A 23,378-nucleotide genomic window follows, 5' to 3' on the forward strand; every position below is an offset into this window, starting at 1 on the left:
GCTTGGTGTTGGAAGTGTCGGAAGCAAAGCATAAAGAACCTGGGGGCTTGTCTCAGGAGGGCGATGACAGCCAATGAAAAGCAGTCATGGGCGTGGCGCTGTCAAACTTCGAGGGGCGGGACCGAGGACACAGAGCCGGGGCGGAGCCCAAGGTGAAACCAATGAGAAGCCTCCGGGTGGGCGGGGCATCGGCCTAAGGCCAAGGGCGGAGCCAATGAGAAGCAGCGCCGCGTTCCCGCTGCCCCCCGCCCCCGTGGGGCGCGCGCCGGAGCCACGGGCAGCCGTTAGGGGCGGGGTCTGCAGCCGCCCGCGCGCGGCTCGCGCCCTCCCCTTTGTGTCGCCATGGCGGCGGCAGCGGCGACGAGAACGGCGAGCGAGGGGTCGAGCGCGGCCGGGGCCTGAGGAGGCTACGCGACCATGGTGGTAAGGGTCCCACGCGGCCGTCAGCCTGTCCGTCCGGATGTCAGTCTGTCCGTGCGCAGCCCCGCCCCGCGCGCCCCGCCCCCGGCCCCGCCCGATCCCGCGGCCTGTGCTTCAGCCGTGGTCCCTCCCGTCCTGCGGCCCCATCCCGGGTCCCAGCCCGTACCTCGACCCCGCCCCCTAAGCGCGCATCCCCGTCTTCCACGCCCTGGATGGGGTGACAGGGACCTAGGGCCTGGGCTGGGAGGAGGCGGGGCTAGTCCAGGAAGGGACCCGCGCCACCCAAGTGGCCCCTGCAGGGGCCTCCTGAGGCTCCTGGGTCCTTCCCCAGCTCCCATCCCAGCACCTTCCTCGGCATCCTTCTGCCAGCCCTCAGCCCTCCCCGGCGGAGCCCCCTCCTCCTCCCCACAGCCCCTTTCTCATTCCCGAGCCCCACCCCCCACCCGCTCCATCCCCAGCCTGACCCTTTTCTTCTCCTTCTCCCTCATTTTCACCCTATCCCAGTTCCTCTCAATCCCCCCCGCCCCGCATCAGTCTGAGCCTTTGCCTCGTCTCTCCAGCCACTCCTTCCTTACTCCACCCCAACAGGCCAGCACTGTACCTCCCTTGATCCTCGGGTCTGCTCCATCTCCTTGTCCTCATCCCCCTCCCCCACCATTTCCCTCTCCCACCATGCTGCTCCCGCTCATTCATCCATTCATTCCCTCACTTAGCAGACATTCACTGAGACCGCCTCTGTGCAGGCCCCACGCTCCAGGCACAGAGAGAGTCAGCTCCCATCCTGCCTTGGGGAACCTTATGGGCTGGAGGGGGACAGACCCTGAGGGTGAGACCCTGAGGGTGACTGGGGGTTGCAGGGACATGGAGCAGGGAGACGCTACAGCCCAGTGAATCTGTCTGGCAGCTGGTTAATTTATTCATCAGATTTTACCCAGTCCCTGCTGCGCGCGACTGGGCTGGCACTGGGGACCCAGAAAAGAATCAGGAACAATCATGTCTGAACACCAACTCAATGCCCAGCTCTATGCTGGGGAGCTCAGTCTGGGGCCCTCCTTCTGGGAGGCCGGTCATAGTCCAATGAGAGAGATGAACTTGTCACCACCAGTGCCATCTCAGAGTGATCAGAGCTGTGAAGGGAGAAGCTCTGGTCAAGGCATGGAACCTGGGATGGGGGAACCTCAGGGGATGGAGAGAGTCCAGAGGAGATGCCAGGTGCAGCCTGAAGGGTCAGGGAGAACTTCCTGGAGGAGGGCACATGTGAGTTGGGACCTGAGGGGTGGGAGTGAGGATGAATGTACCCAGGGAAAGGTGGGGCGAGTGTTCCAGGCTGAGGGAACAGCCTTTGCAAAGGCCTAGAAGGAAATGAGAAGAGGGTGCTTTTTTTGGACTCTTAGAAGTTCAAGAGCTCTGAGAGTGGGGGCAATGGGAAGAGATGGGACTGGAGAGGTAAACAGAAATCAGCTCAGGGAAGTCTCGATTATCAGACCAGAGAATTCAGACTTCGTCTTGAAGACAACAGGGAGTCATTGAAGGCCCAGGATCTATGGAGAAATAGAGCCAGATTTGTGTTTTCTGAAAACGATCCAGGCTATTGCGGAAAAGCTGGCAGGAGGGGAGAGGCTGGAAGCAGGAAGGCTGATGAGATGGGAGTTGTGATTGTCTAGACAGTGGTAGGAGATCACTGTACTCTGCAGGGGCTACGGAAGGGTTTTCAGCAGGGAGAGATGGGACCAGCATGCTCTCCATCCTGTTGCCCCGCCTCACGTCTGGCCCCTGCTTCTCCAGTCCCCCACCCCAGACCACACACGAAGAAGCAGTCCTGTCCTCAGCCCAGCCCTCACCTCCCCCGACCTGCCATCCTGCTTCATGCTCAGGGCGGTGTGTGGAGCGCCCGGGGCTCTGGACCCGCGCTGCCAGATAACAATGCTCTCGTTGTCTCTTTGCTCCCATCTCTGGGGGCCTCTGATTCTTTCTGCTCTACAGGCACGCAGCACTGACAGCCTGGATGGCCCAGGGGAGGGCTCGGTGCAGCCTCTACCCACTGCTGGGGGGCCCAGTGTGAAGGGGAAGCCTGGGAAGAGGTGAGGGTGAGGGAGGAAAGGGCTCAGCTAGGAGCTGGGGAGACTCAAGGAGCTGCTGGTGACGCATCCCCTGTCTCCCAGGCTCTCAGCTCCTCGAGGCCCCTTCCCGCGGCTGGCTGACTGCGCCCATTTCCACTACGAGAACGTTGACTTTGGCCACATTCAGGTATGGGGGCTTTGCATTTGCACCCAGGAGGGAAGACAATATCCTACCCAACCTTGCAACGATATCAGGTGCTTTGCTTCTGAAACTTATCCCTGTGACTGGCTGCTGCACGCGTCTGAGCAGTCAGTAGCAAAAGTTGCAGGAGCCACAGCAGATGGGGAGAGCTGCTCATTCATTCATCCATTTGTTCTTTTATTCATTCAACAACAACTTTTGTTAGGTATCTGCTCTATGTCAGGGACCAGGACATCACCAGGCCCTGTCCTCGGGGAGGTCCAGAAGGGAGTCACAAACCCGTCCCTAGATAGTGCCATCCCCAGGAGGTCAGGACTGGGACAAAAGTCCACCTGGGCCTTGCTTTCCCTCTGCAGCTCCTGCTGTCTCCAGACCGTGAAGGGCCCAGCCTCTCTGGAGAGAATGAGCTGGTGTTCGGGGTGCAGGTGACCTGTCAGGTGAGGCCATCCCGCCTCTCATCTAGCCTGAGAGAATGGCCACTGTAGTCCTCAGCTCGGTGTCATGGGGCCCCTGCTCCCTTCTGTCCCTCTGCTCCCACAGGGCCGTTCCTGGCCGGTTCTCCGGAGTTACGATGACTTTCGTTCCCTGGATGCCCACCTCCACCGGTGCATATTTGACCGGAGGTTCTCCTGCCTTCCGGAGCTTCCCCCGCCCCCCGAGGGTGCCAGGGCTGCCCAGGTAACCTGCTTGTTGTCTCAGCCCCTGCCTCATGAGTGTGTCCTCATCCACAGTGTGAAATCATCAAGGCAGCGGGATAGAGAAATATTTAAATACTGGTATGGCCCAAGTCCCAACCAATCTGAATGAATGGAGAAGCCTTAGAAACGTAGTAGGCTTCTGCTACATTTAGCTTTGCTAAGTTTTAGGATCATGGGGAGTTCCAGGGGGTCCCATGGGAGGGTCACCATGGTCATGCCAACCAGGGTACTCAAGAGCTTGGCCCAGCCTGCTTATTCATTCATATGCCCATATCTCAGTACCTAACAGCTGAGCAGCACCCATGTGTTCAGGATGAACTTCAGCCCAGAGACGAGCTAGGGCAGTGTGGGAGGGCAGTGGGCTCTCTCACGTCCACTCACAGAGGCCCACTCTGACAACCTGCCCCCAGATGCTGGTGCCACTGCTGCTGCAGTACCTGGAGACACTGTCAGGACTGGTGGACAGTAACCTCAACTGCGGGCCTGTGCTCACCTGGATGGAGGTGGGCCTGGGCAGGGGGCTTGGAGATTCCGAGTGGGTGAGGGGGTGTCTGAGGGGCGAGAAGCAGCCTCGGTGTGTGTGTGGGCATAGAAAAGAAAGGAGCCAGAGTGGAGGAGGCGTTGATATTTTAGTGTCTGTGTGGGCGCATGCCTGTGAGAGAATGTGTGTGAGCATGTGTGTGTGTGCACGTGTGTGTGTTAGCAGGTGTTCGGCTTTAAGGATACAAGGGTTTAAATGTATATCAGTTAGAAATGGGTTGGGCTGTAACTCACAGAACACCTGGCTATGAGTGGCTTAAACCAGAGGGGTTTTTTTTCTTTTCTTGAGATGGAGTTTTACTCTTGTTGCCCAGGCTGGAGTGCAGTGGCATGATCTCGCCCACCACAACCCCTGCCTCCCAGGTTCAAGTGATTCTTTTGCCTCAGCCTCCTGAGTAGCTGGGATTACAGGCATGTGCCACCACGCCCGGCTAATTTTATATTTTCAGTAGAGACTGGGTTTCTCCATGTTGGTCAGACTGGTCTCAAACTCCTGACCTCAGGTGTTCCGCCCACCTCAGCCTCCTAAAGTGTTGGGATTATAGGCATGAGCCACTGTGCCTGGCCTCTGGCTAATTAAAAAAAAATGTTTTGTAGAGACAGAGTTTTGCTATGTTGACCAGGCTGGTCTTGAACTCCTGGGGTCAAGCAATTCTCCAGGCTCACCCTCCCAAAGTGCTGGGATTACAGGCGTGTGCCACCACGCCCAGCACAGAGAGATTTTAGATGGCAACCGTGTGGCATCTGCTGTGGAGGATGAAGGTGCAGAGGTGGATGGGGAAGCCTTCAGGTGGGGAAGCCTTTGGGTGGGAGAGTCCTGGGACATGTGAGGGGAAATAAAGGGGTTTTTCTTAGAGGTTTCCCCACCCGCAGAGGGTGCCAGGGCTGCATCCCTACAAACAGGAATCTAGGTGTTTGACCAATAGCTCTGAGTGACAGGGGCTCTTGACGGGGGCGGGCAGTGGCCTCACCCAGCGCGGAGGAGCTTGGTATGCCTGCACTAACACCGTCTTCTGACCTGTCCTTGCCACATTCCACCTCTATTTCAGCTGGACAATCACGGCCGGCGACTGCTCCTCAGTGAGGAGGCGTCACTCAATATCCCTGCAGTGGCGGCCGCCCATGTGATCAAACGGTATACAGCCCAGGCGCCAGATGAGCTGTCCTTTGAGGTGAGGCTGTGGGGAAGCAGATTCCAGCTGGGCTCCCCACACCCCCTGCTCCTTCTGACCCTTCTCTTCCCACCCGCCCTCTCCCAGGTGGGAGACATTGTCTCGGTGATCGACATGCCACCCACAGAGGATCGGAGCTGGTGGCGGGGCAAGCGAGGCTTCCAGGTGAGTCCAGCTGGGCGCGGACAGGTGGGGCTGGGGTACCTGCCAACTGGGGTGGCCCAGCTACTGACCCTGACCTTCCTCAGGTCGGGTTCTTCCCCAGTGAGTGTGTGGAACTCTTCACAGAGCGGCCAGGTCCGGGCCTGAAGGCGGGTAAGTGCCATGGATGGATGGGAGGTGTGGGGAGGGGTGGGAAGGGGTGGGGCCTCCTGCGTCTTTTGCCTCCCACTCATCCCTTCCACCCCATTTTTCGCCTAGCAGATGCCGATGGCCCCCCATGTGGCATCCCGGCTCCCCAGGGTATCTCGTCTCTGACCTCAGGTAATAGAAATAGGCGGTCAGGTCCCAGCCCCTACCCCACCAGGCCCCTGGCCATGCTGACCCCACAAGACCTGCCTTTGCCCTTTGCCCCTTGCCCCCACAGCTGTGCCACGGCCTCGTGGGAAGCTGGCCGGCCTGCTCCGCACCTTCATGCGCTCCCGCCCTTCTCGGCAGCGGCTGCGGCAGCGGGGAATCCTGCGACAGAGGGTGTTTGGCTGCGATCTTGGCGAGCACCTCAGCAACTCAGGCCAGGATGGTGAGGCCGGGGCCCACCCACCCCACCCGTCACACCAGGGCTGCGGCCCACCCAGCCCTGACCTTGCTTTCTCCCAGTGCCCCAGGTGCTGCGCTGCTGCTCCGAGTTCATTGAGGCCCACGGGGTGGTGGATGGGATCTACCGGCTCTCAGGCGTGTCTTCCAACATCCAGAGGCTTCGGTGAGGGCCCTTAGCCAACCCTGTCCTTCCACAGGCACTCACCCAGCACCTCCACTCCAGCCCCGTGCTGCATGCTGGGGACACAGTTACCAGGAGTCAGGAGTGGCAGGATCAAGGCTGGGGTCAGGGACAGCTCTCTTGAGAGTAGAGTTAGCAGTCTAAGCGAGGACTATCTTCACCGAGCACCTGCCACGTGCCAGGCACTGTTCTAGGCACTGGGGACGCAGCAGTGAGTGAGACAGCCAGAAACCCCTGCCCTCATAGGGCCCATGGGCTAGAGGAAGAGACAAACAGGGGAGGGATAGAGTTCACCAGAAGATGACAGGTACTATGGAGGAAAACAGATTGGGGTAAGGAGGATGGCGACGAAGAGCCAAGAGGGAGGCCTGCAGTTTTGGATGGCAAGGGCAGAGCCACCTCATGCGAGGGTCTGGAGGAGGGGAGGGGCAGGCCATGCAGAGGGAGCAGCAGGGCAAAGGGAACAGCAACAGGAGGCCATGGCCAAGGAGTCCCCGTGCCAGCGCAGGCAAAGCCTTCATGTTAGGGTTTTGGCTTTTACTATAAGTGAAGGGGGAACCGCAGGAGGGCTCTGAGCCGGGGCGGGGTCTAGAGGCGGGGAGGAGCCAGGCGAGATCTCGGCCTGCAGGAGGCTGAGAGGGGAGTGCTTGAAGCCTGCAGGGGGGTGGCCAAGAGGGAGGCAGGAGGTGGCAATGGGTGGGAGATTTTACCACAGGCAGTGGGGCCCCACCAGAGAATTGGGAGTAGCAGGGTGCTGGGATTTTGTCCACATTTTCCAGTGCCCTCTTACAGCCAGGAGAATGGCAGCTGCATGGTAGGAGCTGCTCATGCTCTGGAGTCAGACAGTCTTGGGTAGCTGCAGGCAGAGGCACCTCTGTCTGAGCCTCAGCATCCTCCTCTGTAAATGCGGCACCCTTCTCTTTGCCACACAGGCTTGCTGGGGAGTTCAGTAAGGTTCTGCCTCTGAAGAGCCCAGTGTAGGACCTGGGGAAGAGGGTTCCATCCACCTGCGGGCACTTGGGGGTAGGGGCAAGGGGAGCATGGCCACGTGAGCGAGCCCCTCTGACCTGGATCTTCCTCCTCCTTGACACGGTGGTCTCAGGCACGAGTTTGACAGTGAGAGGATCCCGGAGCTGTCTGGCCCTGCATTCCTGCAGGACATCCACAGCGTGTCCTCCCTCTGCAAGCTCTACTTCCGAGAGCTTCCGAACCCTCTGCTCACCTACCAGCTCTATGGGAAGTTCAGTGTGAGTAAGGGAGCTGGCGGGACGGAGGGGGCCGGGACGCCTCTGGCCCAGACCTCATCACACCTGCCCACCATCTCAGGAGGCCATGTCAGTGCCTGGGGAGGAGGAGCGTCTGGTGCGGGTGCACGATGTCATCCAGCAGCTGCCCCCACCACATTACAGGTAAACCAGGAGGGGCAGGGCGGGACTTGGTGGGATTCCAAGGGGGTTGAGGCTCAGGTGCCCCCTCTGCTCCCACCCCCAGGACCCTGGAGTACCTGCTGAGGCACCTGGCCCGCATGGCGAGACACAGTGCCAACACCAGCATGCATGCCCGCAACCTGGCCATTGTCTGGGCACCCAACCTGCTACGGTGAGCTGCTTGCTCGCCTGCCTGCCCCTCAGGTCTTTCCCCAAAACCACCCCAGGAACCCGCCCAGCTTTTCTTTTGTTTATTCATCGAATACGTGTCTATCAAATACCTCCCATGGACCTGGCCCCGTCCCTAGCACTGGGGACCCAGCACTGAGCATGGCCCTGTCCTCCTGGGACTCATGTTCTCATGGAGGAGATGGACCATGAACATCAACAGGAAAAATACAGAGTAAAGTCTGATGGTGATGAGTGCTGAGGAGGAGAGAGGAGGAGGGAAGGGCAGTGTGCAGGGTCAGGGCAGTGTGAAGTTTTTAGCGAGAGTGGCAAGGGAGGCTTTGGCAGGTCTTCTGTGGCCAGCAGCAGAATAAGCCTGGAGGATTTGATGGTGAACGAGACAGGCATGATCTCTCCCCTGCCGGAGTTCACAGTCTTCTGGGGGCACAGATACATAAACAAGTAAAACAGGTGGTATGTCAGAGGACGGGCGTAAGATGTACGGAGAAAAATAAACGAGAAAGGCCAGGGGTACAGAGAAGGGAGTGTACAGTTTTGAATAAAGTGGGTGAGGAAGACTGCACTAAGAAGGCAATATTTGAGTCAAGACCTGCAGAGGATGAGGGAGGGCCCCAGGTGCGCACGTGGGGAGTGACAGGCTGAGGGAACGGCAGGTGCAGACATCTGGGCCTGGGCCGGTGCCTGGTGTGTTGGAGGAGCTGCAGGGAGGCCGGTGTGGCTGGAGCTGAGTGAGTGAGGGGCTGAGGGAGAGGAGATGATGAGGTCAGAGAGGTGACGGGGACCAGACAGAGGGGTGACTCACAGGTCATGGGTCACAGTGAGGACTTTGCTCTTGCCTGGAGCGAGGTGCAGCCAGGGCAGGGCTCTGAGCCAGGCGGGCCCTGATGGAACTCAGGTGGTCTCAGGCTCCCTCTGGCTGCAGGTGGGAGCATACTTTAGGGTGGGGACCGGAAGGAGGCTCTGGGATGTCCAGGCTGGGGGAGATGGAGGCTGGGCCAGATGGGGGGCAGTGGAGGGGGTGACAGATTGATTGTGGGAGTTAAAGAGGGGGGCTCAGGGCAACCCCAAGGTGTTTGGCCAGAGCCACAGGAAGAACCACACTGAGATGGGGAAGGCAGGAGGGGCGGGTCTGGGGGAAGGTTGAGAGCCCAGCGAGGCGTGATCAGTTTGAGGTCAGAGGTGTTGAATAGACAGTCACTGCCTCCCCTGGCTCCCCTCATTGCCCTGCCAGAACCTGCTGGCTGGGCTCAAGGCACCCAGCCTCCCTCCCGCTCCTCCCACCCAGGTCCATGGAGCTGGAGTCAGTGGGAATGGGTGGCGCGGCGGCGTTCCGGGAAGTTCGGGTGCAGTCGGTGGTGGTGGAGTTTCTGCTCACCCATGTGGACGTCCTGTTCAGCGACACCTTCACCTCCGCCGGCCTCGACCCTGCAGGTATGCCCTCCCACCCCCTGAGGTCCTGGCTACTGCCCACCACGATCAGGGCTGCAGGGGGAGGGCAGGTGGGCTCCCAGTCCCGTCCCCACCCCACTGAAGCTGGGCCTCCCTCCGGCTCCTTGAGGATCCCGCCCCGGCCTCTCCCTCCCCGCGCCCCCCTCCTTCTCATTTCAGCTCCTCCGCTCAGGATTCCCACCTCTTGGCCCGGACGCCGCTCTTCCTTCACCCCTTGTAGCTCCTGGGGGCGCTTGGGGCCATGGGTCCACCTGGGAGGAGGTGGGAGGTCCCCAGACTTGACCCCGCCCCGGCCCCACCCAGACTCCCCGCCCTGCCCCGGACCCCAGCCCAGTCAGGACTCAGCACGTCGGAGGGCCCTCTGGCCCGAGGTAACTGAAGCCAGAGCCGCTGCCCTCGCTGGCTGCCGGGAGCTGCCTCCTCATCAGCTCGTCCCGCCCCGCCCTCCTCCCACCTGCCTGCTGCCCGCCTGCTCCCGCCTGATCCGCCCCGGCCCCCTGCCTTGCCAGCCCGGGTGGGCATGCTGCGGGGCCGGGGCTTGGGCTGTGGCGCTTGGCTTTGCCTGTGGCCTTGGGCGGCCCCAGAGCTGACAGCTGCCCCCTTTCCACACTCCCCAGGCCGCTGCCTGCTCCCCAGGCCCAAGTCCCTTGCGGGCAGCTGCCCCTCCACCCGCCTGCTGACGCTGGAGGAAGCCCAGGCACGCACCCAGGGCCGGCTGGGGACGCCCACGGAGCCCACAACTCCCAAGGCCCCGGCCTCACCTGCGGAAAGGTGAGTGGGATGCTGGGGGTGGCGAGGGGCAGGTGGAGGCCTGGTTCCTCAGACGGCCTCCTGTTTCTCCCCCAAACCGCAGGAGGAAAGGGGAGAGAGGGGAGAAGCAGCGGAAGCCAGGGGGCAGCAGCTGGAAGACGTTCTTTGCACTGGGCCGGGGCCCCAGTGTCCCTCGAAAGAAGCCCCTGCCCTGGCTGGGGGGCACCCGTGCCCCACCGCAGCCTTCAGGTGAGAGGCTGAGCCATGGGCTGGTGGGCAGCGATGGTCGCTGGAGTGCCCTCCTACCTCTCCCTCTCCTGCAGGCAGCAGACCCGACACCGTCACACTGAGATCTGCCAAGAGCGAGGAGTCTCTGTCATCGCAGGCCAGCGGGGCTGGTGAGCAAGGCGGGCAATTGGGGGGCGCTACCTGTGCCCATGTGGAGCCGGGAGGAATTGGGGCCCTGGTTTGGCCTCCAAATTTTATACTTCACATTTGGGGGCCCTGGGGCTTTTGAAAAATTTAACCTGGCCTTTATGTACAATGAGTTGGATACAGTATCACCTTTGGTTCATCACACACTGAACTTAACTTACTCATTGGTCCATGACGGGCCCTTTAAAAGTCTTTATTATTCCTGTTGAACATTTTAAAATAATATCATGGACACCCATGAACCCAGCAGCCAGAACTAGAGCAGCCCCATTCCTTCTCCCCTTCGAGTTCCTCCCCACTGGAGGCATCCTCTCAATTTGCAGACTACCCTGCCCTTGCTTTCCAGGTCTGATCATACACAGGTGTGTGTGTAAGGATCATACTGCTCAGTTCTAGCCATTTTGGAAACTTGATTTAAAGGGCGTTGTAAGAAAGGGATGCCGCACTGTATGGGGAGCTTGGCTTTTTCTCCATCGCTACCTCACAGCCCGCCGCGCTGCTGGGTGCTGCTCTCCGACCTCTGCGGGGGGCTGCTTATCCACCCCACCCAGCCGTGCCTCTGGGGGCTCTTCTGAGCCACCGCGCCATCCTCACACTCCTGGGGTACTGCCCTCCCACATACCCAGGAGCCCAGGTGCTGTCCTGCTGGCTCAGCAGCTGTATGTGAATCTGTTGGTCTCGTGCTCACAGCCTGTGGGGCAGCCACAGGGCCTTCGTGCTTTGGGCCGGAAGTGTCCTCTTCATGGTCTCCACTGTCAATCTGAACAGCTCTTCCTGGCTTCACACTACTGTGGCCCTCTCCAGGAGGCGCCTCTTCATGTCCTTTCCCCAGCTTTCTGTGGGGCTGTGCGCCCTGTTCTCAGGGATGGTCTCACTGACCCCACCCCTCCAGGCCTCCAGAGGCTGCACAGGCTGCGGCGACCCCACTCCAGCAGCGACGCTTTCCCTGTGGGCCCAGCACCTGCTGGCTCCTGCGAGAGCCTGTCCTCGTCCTCCTCCTCCGAGTCCTCCTCCTCTGAGTCCTCCTCTTCCTCCTCTGAGTCCTCAGCAGCTGGGCTGGGGGCACTCTCTGGGTCTCCCTCACACCGTACCTCAGCCTGGCTAGATGATGGTGATGAGCTGGACTTCAGCCCACCCCGCTGCCTGGAGGGACTCCGGGGGCTGGACTTTGATCCCTTAACCTTCCGCTGCAGCAGCCCCACCCCAGGGGATCCCGCACCTCCCGCCAGCCCAGCACCCCCCGCCCCTGCCTCTGCCTTCCCACCCAGGGTGACCCCCCAGGCCATCTCGCCCCGGGGGCCCACCAGCCCCGCCTCGCCTGCTGCCCTAGACATCTCAGAGCCCCTGGCTGTATCAGTGCCACCCGCTGTCCTAGAACTGCTGGGGGCTGGGGGAGCACCTGCCTCAGCCACCCCAACACCAGCTCTCAGCCCCGGCCGGAGCCTGCGCCCCCATCTCATACCCCTGCTGCTGCGAGGAGCCGAGGCCCCGCTGACTGACGCCTGCCAGCAGGAGATGTGCAGCAAGCTCCGGGGAGCCCAGGGCCCACTCGGTGAGTCCTCAGCCTACCCCACCCCTGTCCCCGCCAGCTGTCACTGACTCTGAGGGCCTGGCCCCAGCTGAACCCCTCTCCATTCATTTATATAGGTCCTGATATGGAGTCACCACTGCCACCCCCTCCCCTGTCTCTCCTGCGCCCTGGGGGTGCCCCACCCCCGCCCCCTAAGAACCCAGCACGCCTCATGGCCCTGGCCCTGGCTGAGCGGGCTCAGCAGGTGGCCGAGCAACAGAGCCAGCAGGAGTGTGGGGGCACCCCACCTGCTTCCCAATCCCCCTTCCACCGCTCGCTGTCTCTGGAGGTGGGCGGGGAGCCCCTGGGGACCTCAGGGAGTGGGCCACCTCCCAACTCCCTAGCACACCCGGGTGCCTGGGTCCCGGGACCCCCACCCTACTTACCAAGGCAACAAAGTGATGGGAGCCTGCTGAGGAGCCAGCGGCCCATGGGGACCTCAAGGAGGGGACTCCGAGGCCCTGCCCAGGTCAGTGCCCAGCTCAGGGCAGGTGGCGGGGGCAGGGATGCGCCAGAGGCAGCAGCCCAGTCCCCATGTTCTGTCCCCTCACAGGTTCCTACCCCCGGCTTCTTCTCCCCAGCCCCCAGGGAGTGCCTGCCACCCTTCCTCGGGGTCCCCAAGCCAGGCTTGTACCCCCTGGGCCCCCCATCCTTCCAGCCCAGTTCCCCAGCCCCAGTCTGGAGGAGCTCTCTGGGCCCCCCTGCACCACTCGACAGGGGAGAGAACCTGTACTATGAGATCGGGGCAAGTGAGGGGTCCCCCTATTCTGGCCCCACCCGCTCCTGGAGTCCCTTTCGCTCCATGCCCCCCGACAGGCTCAATGCCTCCTACGGCATGCTTGGCCAATCACCCCCACTCCACAGGTCCCCCGACTTCCTGCTCAGCTACCCGCCAGCCCCCTCCTGCTTTCCCCCTGACCACCTTGGCTACTCAGCCCCCCAGCACCCTGCTCGGCGCCCTACACCGCCTGAGCCCCTCTACGTCAACCTAGCTCTAGGGCCCAGGGGTCCCTCACCTGCCTCTTCCTCCTCCTCTTCCCCTCCTGCCCACCCCCGAAGCCGTTCAGATCCCGGTCCCCCAGTCCCCCGCCTTCCCCAGAAACAACGGGCACCCTGGGGACCCCGTACCCCTCATAGGGTGCCGGGTCCCTGGGGCCCTCCTGAGCCTCTCCTGCTCTACAGGGCAGCCCCGCCAGCCTACGGAAGGGGGGGCGAGCTCCACCGAGGGTCCTTGTACAGAAATGGAGGGCAAAGAGGGGAGGGGGCTGGTCCCCCACCCCCTTACCCCACTCCCAGCTGGTCCCTCCACTCTGAGGGCCAGACCCGAAGCTACTGCTGAGCACCAGCTGGGAGGGGCCGTCCTTCCTTCCCTTCACCCTCACTGGATCTTGGCCCAACCAAATCCCTTGTTTTGTATTTTCTTGAACCCCGACCACTACCCCAGGTTTCTAACTTTGTAACTTGCTTCTGATGTGGGTCCCTAACCTATAATCTCAGCTTCCCTACCCTGGACTGAAGGGTCTGCCCATCCCCCCACCACCCTCCATCCTGGGGGCCCTCGCACAAATCTGGGGTGGGAGGGGCTAGGCTGACCCCATCCTCCTCTCCCTCCAGGAGCCCCCAGCATGTCCTGACCTGTGCACGGGGATGGGGGGACAACTCCTACCCTTCTTTCCCCACATGCCCCACTAAACCATCTGACAACATTAATGAATAAAATGGTGAAAATGTGGCTGCTGAAGTCGTTCTGGGGCCAAACTCAGTGAGTGAAGACAGACAGAGGGGGCACTTTATCATTCTATTTCCTTTTGGGGAGGCACCAAGGCAGGAGTTACTCCTGGGAGCCTCTGAGAGGTGGTATCTGCAGAGAGGGGAACCATGGGCACCCTGGGAGTCTAGGTCAGGAGTGGGGCTCAGGCTGGGCTTTTCTCCAAGCTGACATCCTTTTTGTAGCTCTGCTATGATCTCCTCCAGCAGGTCCATCCTGGGGAGCAGTGAGGCACAGGTAGACCTAGGGTTACCTCAGGGATAAAGACCTAGGGTTACCTGGGGTCCTCCCATCCAAGGCCTCGGGTCTCACTTCTGCAGGCTGGAGAAGAGACCTCCTCTAGTCAGCTCAGTACCGGGTGCCTGCAGGAGAGAAGGCTGGAGCTGCCACCTGGTAGCCATGGTGCTCCAGCGGGCCTGGGAGGGCAGATGGGGCACAGGCTGAGCTCGGGGTCCTCTGCTTAGCCTGCCCTCGTGGCCTTCCCTGCCAGCAGCCTCCCAGTGTGTGGGAAGCCTCCCTGTGGGTCAGCAGGCTGGGGATGGGCTCACAGGGCTGGGGCTCCAGCAGAATAACCCTGTGTGTGCGCCGCAGCAGCCCCTGCAGGGCTGGAATCTTGGCTGAGAGCTTCCTCAAACTGTTCCGCAGAGCTCTGGGTCCCCAGCAGGGAGGCTGAGTCCTAGAGGCTGGAGTTGGAGTGCAGGGAAGGGCCCTGGGGGAAGCAGGGTTGGTTAAGGGTCATAGGTGAGTGAGGGGACAGTTGGGCGACCCTAAAGTTCCCTGGTCAAAGGAGAGGCAGCCAGGGAACTTCGGGTTGGTGACTCCTGGAGGGCGGGCGGAGGGGGTCACAGGTTAGCAGTGGGACAGTTGTGCAGGGCTCTGGGGGTATCTGTACTGTTGAGCTGGGCTCCAGGCAGCAGTGCAGGCTGACCCTGGCTGTGGGGCTGTGGCCAGACCCAGGGCTGGGTCCTGGGCTGGGCCCAGAGCTGCTGCCTAGAGTCAAGCTGCTGCCCAAGTTCCAGGCTGCACCCCTTGGGATCCTGCTGTGGTCTCTGACCTCAGGAGTCTCAGGCCTGCAGAGAAGGATGGCAGAGAGCTGGCATGGGTTGCCCAGGTGTCCCACAGCTCCCTTGGTCCCCCACAGCCCCGTCCTGGCTCCTACCTGGCATGGGATGGGGCCTGGGGACATCACAGGGGCCACAGGCCTGGGTGTGGTCTTGGCTCTGTGAGCCACTTGATGTACAGTTTCTCTGTGGGGACAGACCAGTTGGTCAGCACCTGCCAGCATCCCTTCCTTGCCCTCTAACTTGGTGGGGAACCCTGGGGTGCAGGGGATAGCGTGGTCCACTCCATTGGGGAGCTCACCTCAGGAGCCACGTCCTGTGGACCGGAGGCTGGGTGTGGGGACACAGGCTTGCCTGGGGTCCCATGGCCACCACCCACCCCCTGCTGACCTGCCCTGTACCTGGGCCGGGGCCTCCCGCAGTAGGTATCGGGTACTCTGCAGGCTGCCCCAGCGGTCAGCAGGTGCTAGGCCTAGCCCAGCTCGAATCAGGGCCTGGTAGGGTGCTGGCACCCGGGGCTCCAGGGCCGGACTCTCCCCTGCCTCCAGCTTGGCCTTCACCTCAGGTCCCCCTCTCCCAGCCCAGGGCAGCTCTCCTGCCAGGAAGCACAGTTAGGGACCCAAGCGGGAGGGTGCCTTCATGGGGTGGGGCGCAGCCACTCACTCACCAGTGAAGACCTCCTGGATCAGGATGCAGAAGCTGTAGAGGTCTGAGGTGGTGGTGGGCATGTCACCGCAGATCAGCTGAAGTGGCAGCCATGGGTGTAGTTCAGGGGGCGGGGGAAGCCCTGGGCCTGGGCCTCCCCAGGGGTAGCCCTTCTGCTGCCTGTGGAGCCCAAGGGCCCTGGTGAGCCGACGGCTGCTGGACAGGGACCTGCACCCGCCACCAGACAGGAAAACTGAGACCCCAGGTCACACAGCCCAGCAGTGGTAGGGCCAGCACCTAGCTCCTATGCCACTCACAGTGCCCCTCTCCACCCCCACCTCCTCCCTGGGGTCTACAAGACACCACTGCCCATGGCCACGGAGGCTGGAGAACAGGGAGGAGGGGAGCGTGCAGGCCCGAGTCAAGGGGCAGCAGGCAGGGCAGGCACTCACCTGGGCCGCAGCCAGCGCTGGCGTAGGAGGCGCCTGTGCTCCAGGTGGCCCACTTTAGCCAGGCCTGGCTGCACCAGCTACACGGTGTGAGAGCTGAAGCCACTGTGAGCTCGCCAGTGGGCCTGCAGGAACAGCAGGGCCTTTAGCACCTGCTGCAGCAGGGGGCCGGGGCGGCAGGCCCAGCACAGTCCCAGGTGCCTCCTCACTTGGTCTCGGTGGGTGCAGCACCCCCTGCAGGGAGCCCAGCCACACAGGCTCAAAGAGAAGGCACAGCCCCGACAGATCTGCAGAGGGACTCAGTGCCATCAGCAGCAACAGGCCAGGGTGGTGCAGCTTGCTGGGCAGGAGGACAGCAGGCCACTCACGAGCAGGCCCCAGCCACACAGGGTGGGAGATGCTCCTGGGCCCAGACTGCCCACCACGTGCCAGGGCAGGCAATCTGCACCTGCCATCAGACAGAGGAAAGACTGATCCCAGGTCACGCAGCCCAGCAGTGGGAGGGCCAGCACCCACCGCCTACCTCATCCTGGTGCCTTCCACACCCCCACCTCCTCTCAGGCCTACAGGGCATTGCACACACAACTGGTACCCACCCACTTTCCAGTGGGGGGATCGCCCCAGCAGAAGGGCTCCATGCCGGGTGCTGGCCCAGAAGTGAAGATTCTGGCCATGACTACGGCCACACACCCTTGTCTTCCGTGGGAGGGCCAACAGGAGGCGGGGCTGGGGGCTGGCACAGGTACCTGCAGTGCTGAAGGTCAGCCAGTAGCACATCTGTCTGGGTTCCAGGGGCCTTCGGCTGCTGCACAGTCATTTTGTGACCCATCCACAGGAGGCTGGAGAATAGGGGCGGGGCAGTACAGGCCTGAGACGAGGGGGCTTTCCCTGGGAGGGGAGCAGGAGAGCTGGCAAGGGCACAGCGGGGCTCTCACTTGGCCATGAGGGTGGGGAGCTGCTCTCATAGGTGCAGTCAGGCTCTCCCTGGGCTGCCAGCAGCTCCTTGGGGTCCACAAGGGGGATGCCCGTTACCAGCCCCGGTGGCCACAGGCTACTCAGCTAGGGACAGGCAGGATCATGAGGCACGAAGAAGACAGGGGTGGTTCCCACTCCTACAGCCACTCCTGCTTACCTGACCAAACCCCAAGGCCGGGACTTGGGAGGCTCTCCTGATCTGTGCTAGCCTCAGCATCCTGGGGTGGGGGCAGGCCGAGGGTAAGTCTGGGGTGGCTGGGAATGGTTGGGCGGGTGGGCTTCAGGATGTGGACGGTTACCTGTCTGCCTGCATCAGCCTCAGGGAGGACAGGGAGCCAGGCGGGCTGTTCCCAAATCTGGCCTGCAACTGGTCCAGAGATGCCATGGGTGGCAACTCACCGTCATGCACGAACGCTGATATGTGGGCCCGGCAGAGCTGCAACAACTCCAGCAACTGGAGGAGGGCACGTAGGGTGAGGCCTGATGGGTGCCGGCCCTGATCCCTCACTCCCACCAGGGCCACTGCTCACCTCCCAGTTCTGCTTGGCCCCACCCTGCTCAGCCCAGTCTTGTGGTGTGCGACCCCGCTGGTCATGCAGTTGCAAGTCACCCCCTGCCTGCAGCAGGGGCACCATCACTAAAGAAGGCGCCTGCAGGCACGGGGGTGCTGCCATCCAGGCAGCGGTTAGAGCAGAACAACGCGGTGGGAGTCGATTAGGGAAGGGACTGAACAGGGACAAAAAGGGGCAGGATGGGGGCCCTGGGGGATGGGAGGAGTCACCATGTCATGGGAGGTGAATATGAGGATGGGAGGGGTCACATGAGGGCAGGATGGGGTCTTTAGGGAATGGAGGATCACTACGAGCATGGAGGCACTGGGAGAATGGGAACAGTCACTGGGGAATGAGAAGGGGTTAATTGAGAGAATAAGGAGGGTTACTGGGGGGACAGGAGGGTCACCAGGGAATGGAAGAGGCATCTCGAGGGAGAGATGCCTCAGGGGAAGAGAGCCCTAGCTCTCAGGCTTTCTGGGGCTCAAACTTGGGCCCCTGGGGATGGGGGGCATCACTGGCTGGCCAGCCACTGGTTGGGCTTGGCACCAAAGGCCAGCAGGAGCTGCATGGCAGAGCCGTGGCCCAGCAGCGCCGAGAGGAAGAGCGCTGTCTGCCCCTCAGAGTTCTCCCCGTCCACCTGGACACCTAAGGGGCAGGCAGGCTTAGGACGCCCCAGGCCCATACTCCTGGGTTGGAGGCCTGAGGGCCGCTAGGCAAACACCCTTGCCAATTCCCATCCTCCACAGCCCCTCCATGACTGGATGACTATGGACCCCAGGTTCCATCTCTGTGTCCTGGAACCCCTGCCCTCCAGCTGCTGAGGACCATGCCTCGCAATCCACCTCAACACAGTGCTCCCCAAATCATTAAGTCCACAGAGTTGAAACAAGGGGTGACATCTGCCTGCTGTGCAAACATCTATCCCCCAACCCAGGGGGATCAAAATCACACAAAGGTCCCCATGGGCCAGGAGGAAGTGGATTTCAGGGGACTTTGACTTCCAGGAGCCTTGCGCACTGGCCGGGACAGGCGGACTCCACCCAGCTGTGACTCAGTGTGGTACACACAGGTCCCATGAGGCCAGCACTCAGCAATTCAAGTAAAGCAAACTCTGGATTTTATCAGATCTCTCAAATTTTATTTATTTTAATTTTTAATTTTTTGTAGAGATGGGGTCTCATTATATTGCCCAGGCTGGTCTTGGACTCCTGGGCTCAAGCAGTTCTCCTGCCTTGGTTTCCCAAAGTACTGAGATTACAGGCATGAGCCACCATGCATGGTCTCAATTTTATTTTTGAAGCCTGCATCTAAGGGCTCAATCCAGTTGGCAACCCCCTCCATGTCCTTACCTCCAGGCCTCCGCCAATCCCCTCCCCAACCATCTTCCTGCTCAGCTCCCCCTCCCAACCACTCACTCCTGCCCCAAGCCCTGGGTCTCCAAACCCGTCATTCCCCAGTTCCTCTTCCTCCAGCCCCTACCCCAGGTAGAGCAAATGCATGGTATCCTTGTCCTTGCACTCCTGTGTCCTTGGCAGACACGGCTAATTATTCATGCACTGGGCCCAACCCAGCGTGGTCTCTGCCACAAAACCCCTCCAAATGTGGACCTTCAGGAATCTCTGAATACCAGATTTGCGGCATTGCATTTGACTCATTAGCTCACTATCTTTTACAACAGCATCTTAACTGCCTTTCTGCACTCATCCTGCCCCACAGAGGCCTTTTTTTTTTTTTTTTTGAGACAGAGTCTCAATCTGTTGCCCAGGCTGGAGTGCAATGGCGCAATTTCGGCTCGCTGCAACCTCCGCCTCCCAGGTTCAAGTGATTCTCCTGCCTCAGCCTCCCAAGTAGCTGGGATTACAGGCGTGTGCCACTATGCCAGGCTAATTTTTTTTTATTTTAGTAGATTAGGGGTTTTGCCATGTTGGCCAGGCTGGTCTTGAACTCCTGACCTCAGGTGATCTGCCCACCTCGGCCTCCCAAAGTGTTGGGATTACAGGCATGAGCCACTGTGCCCGGCCTTTTTTTTTTTATTTTAAAGACAGAGTGTTGCCAGGCATGGTGGCTCACGTCTGTAATCCCAGCACTTTGGGAGGCTGAGGTGGGCAGATCACCTGAGGTTGGGAGTTCAAGACCAGCCTGATCAACATGGAGAAACCTTGTCTCTACTAAAACTACAAAAACTAGCCGGGTCTGGTGGCACATGCCTATAATCCCAGCTACTTGGGAGGCTGAAGCAGGAGAATCACTTGAACCCAGGAGGCGGAGGTTGCGGTGAGCAGAGATCATGCCACTGCACTCCAGCGTGGGCAACAAGAGTGAAACTCCGTCTCAAATAAATAAATAAATAAATAAAATAAAATAAAGACGGAGTCTCACTGTGTCACCCAGGCTGGAGTACAGTGGTGCGATCACAGCTCACTGCAGCCTTGACCTCCTGGGCTAAAGTGATCCTCCCACCTCAGCCTCCTGAGCAGCTAGGACTACAGCACACTCCACAGCACCCGGCCCGAGGTCTCTTCTTAAAACACAAATCACTTTTAAGGACTAGATAATCTTATATGAGTTGTTCCAAAGAAAAGAAAAATAGAAAAAGAAGGCAAGGCTCATTTTATGAGGCTAGCAGGACCTTAATTCCAAAACTAGATGAAAGTTTCCAGAAACAGAAAGTAAGATTATATATCAATTGCATATATATGCAAAAACTTTAAATAAAATAGAATAGATTTATCCCCATAAAGCAAGGATGATTCAACATAAGAAAATCTATCAGCTGGGTGTGGTGGCTCATGCCTGTAATCCCAACACTTTGGGAGGCTGAGGCAGGTGGATCACCTGAGGTCAAGAGTTCGAAACCCCTTCTCTACTGAAAATTCAAAAAACTAGCCAGGTGTAGTGGTATGCGCCTGTAATCCCAGCTACTCAGGAGGCTGGGACAGGCGAATCGCTTGAATCTGGGAGGTAGAGGTTGCAGTGAGCAGAGATTGCACCATTGCACTCCAGCCCGGGTAACAAGAGTGAAACTCTGTCTCAAAACAAAAAAACAATTAAAACTAGTAAGCAAGTTCAGAAAGTGGCCTGAAACACAACCAACTTTACAAAAATCAAAACAGAAATTGTACATTGTTAATTTAATGGGTTATTGTTTTGAGACAGGGTCTCACTCTGTTGCCCAGGCTGGAGTGCAGTGGCCTGATCAAGGCTCAGTGCAGCCTTGACCTTTTGGGCTCAAGCAATCCTCCCTGCTCAGCCTCCCAAGTAGCTGGGACTACAGGCATATGATGCCACCACTCCCTGGTAATTTTTTTAAAATAGAGATAGGGTCTTGCTATGTTGCCCAGGCTGGTCTCAAACTCCTGGACTCAAGCAATCCTCCTGTCTCGGCTTCCCAAAGTGCTGGGATTATAGGTGTGAGCCATGTGGAACAGGTTGCCCAGCCTAATTTAATGTTAATTATGTTAATTTCCTGCTTACAATGCCAACAGTTTCCTATCACACACACAAAATCCAACAAAACTCACACTCCTTTAGAGGCCCTTAACTGTGTGGACTTGTGGCCACTTCAGCCTCACGTCTCTCCAAGTCCTGCTGCTACTCATACATGGGCAGTTCATTTTGACTTCAGAGCGTTTGCACAGCCTCTTCCATCACTCCCCACTTCTTTTTTTTTTTCTTTTGAGACGGGGTCTCGCTCTGTTGCCCAGGCTGGAGTGCAATGGCACAATCTCAGCTCACTGCAACCTCTGTCTTCCGGGTTCAAATGATTCTCCTGCCTCAGCCTCCCAAGTAGTTGGGATTACAGGCACATGCCACCATGCCTGGCTGATTTTTGTAGTTTTAGTAGAGACGAGGTTTCACCATGATGGCTAGGCTGGTCTCAAACTCCTGACCTCAAGTGATCCGCCTGCCTCGGCCTCCCAAACTGCTGGGATTACAGGCATGAGCCATTGCACCCCACCATCTCTCCCCACTTCATTTCACCTTTTTTGCGTGGCTGACTCTTATACTGTAAGACTCAAGCATCCTCCACCTGAAAGGCCATACTGTCTAGGGTCTCATCCTCATCCCACTGCATTTCATTCCCAATGGTCCAAGGGTCATGTTCACCCTTAAAGCCCCATCAGGGACCACAGAGCTCGGGACACAGTCGGTGTTCGGTACCACTGCTGACTGGCCAACTGAAGCCACACCCTCCATACAGCTCCTTGATCCTGCCGCCACAGATGTACCTGCAGCCAGGCCCTCACCTCTCCGCAGGAGCCTGGCCGGGCCCCATCCTGGGCCCCCAGCCACAGCCAGGTGGTGCAGACGGCCCACCTGGGTGTCTAGATCCCTCTTGGAGCCCAGCTCCACTGGGAAGCGCGAAAGGGCTGCGAGGGCATCTGTGGGCTGCGGCTCAGTCGGCTCCTGGGCAGGGATCCGCTAGGGGGGTCTCATCAGGGAAGGGGGATGTGAAGGACTGGAACTTTGGGCACAACAAAACAATGAAGACAGAGCTGGCTGGGGGTCCTGGGGGCGCAGTCTAGACGGGAACGGGATTTAGGAGGGGTCTGATGGGAAGGGAGGTGGCTGAATGAGAAAAGGGGGTGGCTCTGGGAGGGCGACACACCAGAAGGTCTGGGGTCGCAGGGAGGCTGAGAGCTGAGGGGGATCTAAGGCAATCGGGAGTCTGGGAGGGGGCTTAGGGCTGGGGTCGGGCGTGCCAGGGTGGCAGAAGGGCTGCGAGGATAGGATCCGAGCTTGGGAAAGGAGTCGGAGGGCTCAGGAGGAGGCTCTGAAGGCTGCGGTGGGAGGATGAGGCGCCTGTGGTTTAGGATCTGAGAGGCGGTGAGAGGGGTCATGGGGAGGCTCTAGGGACAGCGTCTGTGGGGTCCGTGGGGTGGATGGGGTCTGAGGGCAGCGGGCGCGCTCTGAAGGAGGAGAGGGCGCTGATGGCAGGATCTGCCGACTGTGCGGGGGTCCGCGGGTGGGACGCGTGGACTAAGGACTAGGGAAGTGTCTGTGTGTTGGGGGTGGGGGCTACAGGCTGGGGAAGGGGGCTCTGAGGACAGTGTCTGGGGCTGGGGAAGGGGTCAGTGGAATGGGGAAAGGGTTCGCTAAAGGGGCGGGCAGGGGTGTGGTCTGAGGGCCGCGGAAGAGAAGGACAGGGTGGGAGGGGCCTGAGGGCTGGGGGAAGGGTCTGAGGGTGATCTGAGGGCCCAGAAAGCTCTGGGAAAGTTCTGGGCCCACACCCCAGTCCTGGTGGCTTTGCACTCACCGTTGGGCTAGATAGTGGTCGCCACCTGACTGCCACATGATCCGGCCGGCTGTATGAGCGGGAATCCGAGGTGCTTGAGCACCAGTGGCCTCCCGCAGCGCCTGCGCAGTAGCATCCCCTTCCCCAACACAGCCCCAGCCACTCAGCCTGGGCCCCACAGCCCTGACCAGTCGGGGCTGTCACTGTCTGAGGACGGGGCTGTCTACCCACACCGGACTAAGCCCTGTAAGGCAGGGCCTTGGGTCGTTCTTGTCACTGTTGTGTTCACAGCGTTGTTCACCCCAGAACCTAGCTCAAAAGAGGCCTCATTCAGTGCTTTTATTCTCACTCTGTCGCCCAGGCTGGCGTGCAGTGGCGCGATCTCGGCTCACTGCAACCTGCATCTCCCAGGTTCAAGCAATTCTCCTTCTTCAGCCTTCCGAGTAGCTGGGATTACAGGCGCACGCCACCATGCCCGGCTCATTTTTGTATTTTTAGTAGACACGGGGTTTCACCATGTTGGCCAGGCTGGTCTCAATCTCCTGACTTCTGCCCGCCTCGGCCTCCCAAAGTGCTGGGATTACAGGCATGAGCCACTGCACCTGGCGTTTTTCTCAGACAGGATCTCACTCTGTTGCCCGGGCTGGTGTGCAGTGGCAAGATCATAGCTCACTCCAGCCTCCACCTCCAGGGCTCAAGCCAACCTCCTGCCTCAGCCTCCCAAGTAGCTGGGACTACAAGCACAGGCCACCCACCACACCTAGCTAATTTTTTTTTTTTTTTTTAAGATGGAGTCCTGCTCTGTCGCCAGGCTGGAGTGCAGTGGCACGATCTTGGCTCA

The 23,378-nt window shown here is 60.0% G+C and overlaps 1 protein-coding gene and 1 pseudogene across 20 annotated transcripts, besides 5 other annotated features; one reads left to right on the forward strand and one right to left on the reverse strand.

Annotated features, from left to right (window-relative positions):
• Positions 105-584: a silencer, noted in NCBI's record as "silent region_10539". NCBI's record gives its function as "represses an Ori minimal core promoter by ATAC-STARR-seq in GM12878 lymphoblastoid cells {active_cell/tissue: GM12878}" and the evidence as "EXISTENCE:reporter gene assay evidence [ECO:0000049][PMID:35858748]".
• ARHGAP33 (Rho GTPase activating protein 33) lies at positions 323-13,581 on the forward strand. 19 transcript variants are annotated; one of them, XM_047438129.1, is made up of 22 exons: positions 323-423; positions 2,404-2,501; positions 2,583-2,667; positions 3,039-3,119; positions 3,223-3,360; positions 3,791-3,883; positions 4,970-5,092; positions 5,180-5,257; positions 5,341-5,407; positions 5,513-5,575; positions 5,679-5,831; positions 5,909-6,011; positions 7,132-7,276; positions 7,356-7,438; positions 7,521-7,628; positions 8,931-9,076; positions 9,712-9,865; positions 9,948-10,093; positions 10,168-10,242; positions 11,172-11,831; positions 11,927-12,318; positions 12,403-13,581. In XM_047438129.1, exons 1-22 carry the CDS (start codon positions 418-420, stop codon positions 13,186-13,188), a joined length of 3,783 nt encoding a protein of 1,260 aa, XP_047294085.1. In that variant the 5' UTR covers positions 323-417; the 3' UTR covers positions 13,189-13,581. The 19 variants fall into 19 exon arrangements, 18 of the variants coding, with proteins under 18 accessions (XP_047294085.1, XP_047294086.1, XP_006723062.1 ...); XM_047438130.1 differs by having other exon boundaries at positions 5,516-5,575; XM_006722999.3 differs by having other exon boundaries at positions 9,918-10,093; positions 11,927-13,581.
• Positions 1,896-2,781: an enhancer, noted in NCBI's record as "H3K4me1 hESC enhancer chr19:36268039-36268924 (GRCh37/hg19 assembly coordinates)". NCBI's record gives its function as "activates a minimal SCP1, AML or CMV promoter by ChIP-STARR-seq in naive H9 embryonic stem cells {active_cell/tissue: H9 hESC(naive)}" and the evidence as "EXISTENCE:reporter gene assay evidence [ECO:0000049][PMID:30033119]".
• Positions 2,782-3,666: an enhancer, noted in NCBI's record as "H3K4me1 hESC enhancer chr19:36268925-36269809 (GRCh37/hg19 assembly coordinates)". NCBI's record gives its function as "activates a minimal SCP1, AML or CMV promoter by ChIP-STARR-seq in primed H9 embryonic stem cells {active_cell/tissue: H9 hESC(primed)}" and the evidence as "EXISTENCE:reporter gene assay evidence [ECO:0000049][PMID:30033119]".
• Positions 8,939-9,757: an enhancer, noted in NCBI's record as "H3K27ac-H3K4me1 hESC enhancer chr19:36275082-36275900 (GRCh37/hg19 assembly coordinates)". NCBI's record gives its function as "activates a minimal SCP1, AML or CMV promoter by ChIP-STARR-seq in naive H9 embryonic stem cells {active_cell/tissue: H9 hESC(naive)}" and the evidence as "EXISTENCE:reporter gene assay evidence [ECO:0000049][PMID:30033119]".
• Positions 13,582-13,634: 53 nt separating the features above from the next.
• Positions 13,635-22,668, reverse strand: TEX14BP (testis expressed 14B, pseudogene; annotated as a pseudogene). Its single transcript, NR_104176.1, has 8 exons — positions 22,559-22,668; positions 17,047-17,201; positions 15,776-16,611; positions 15,346-15,576; positions 14,777-14,864; positions 14,166-14,687; positions 13,930-13,979; positions 13,635-13,833 (listed from the first exon to the last, which is right to left on the reverse strand). The product of NR_104176.1 is annotated as a testis expressed 14B, pseudogene (transcript).
• Positions 15,828-15,877: an enhancer, noted in NCBI's record as "active region_14503". NCBI's record gives its function as "activates an Ori minimal core promoter by ATAC-STARR-seq in GM12878 lymphoblastoid cells {active_cell/tissue: GM12878}" and the evidence as "EXISTENCE:reporter gene assay evidence [ECO:0000049][PMID:35858748]".
• Positions 22,669-23,378: the final 710 nt, after the last annotated feature.

This window comes from Homo sapiens, chromosome 19 (genome assembly GCF_000001405.40).
Source record: "Homo sapiens chromosome 19, GRCh38.p14 Primary Assembly".
NCBI classification, from domain to species: Eukaryota; Metazoa; Chordata; class Mammalia; order Primates; family Hominidae; genus Homo; species Homo sapiens.

What these genes read in the sequence shown, in the direction of transcription:
- ARHGAP33 (XM_006722999.3), top strand. An exon ending in CAGATGAGCTGTCCTTTGAG is followed by an intron (nt 5,093 to 5,179) that starts GTGAGGCTGTGG and finishes GCCCTCTCCCAG; the next exon opens with GTGGGAGACATTGTCTCGGT. An exon ending in GGGGCAAGCGAGGCTTCCAG is followed by an intron (nt 5,258 to 5,340) that starts GTGAGTCCAGCT and finishes GACCTTCCTCAG; the next exon opens with GTCGGGTTCTTCCCCAGTGA.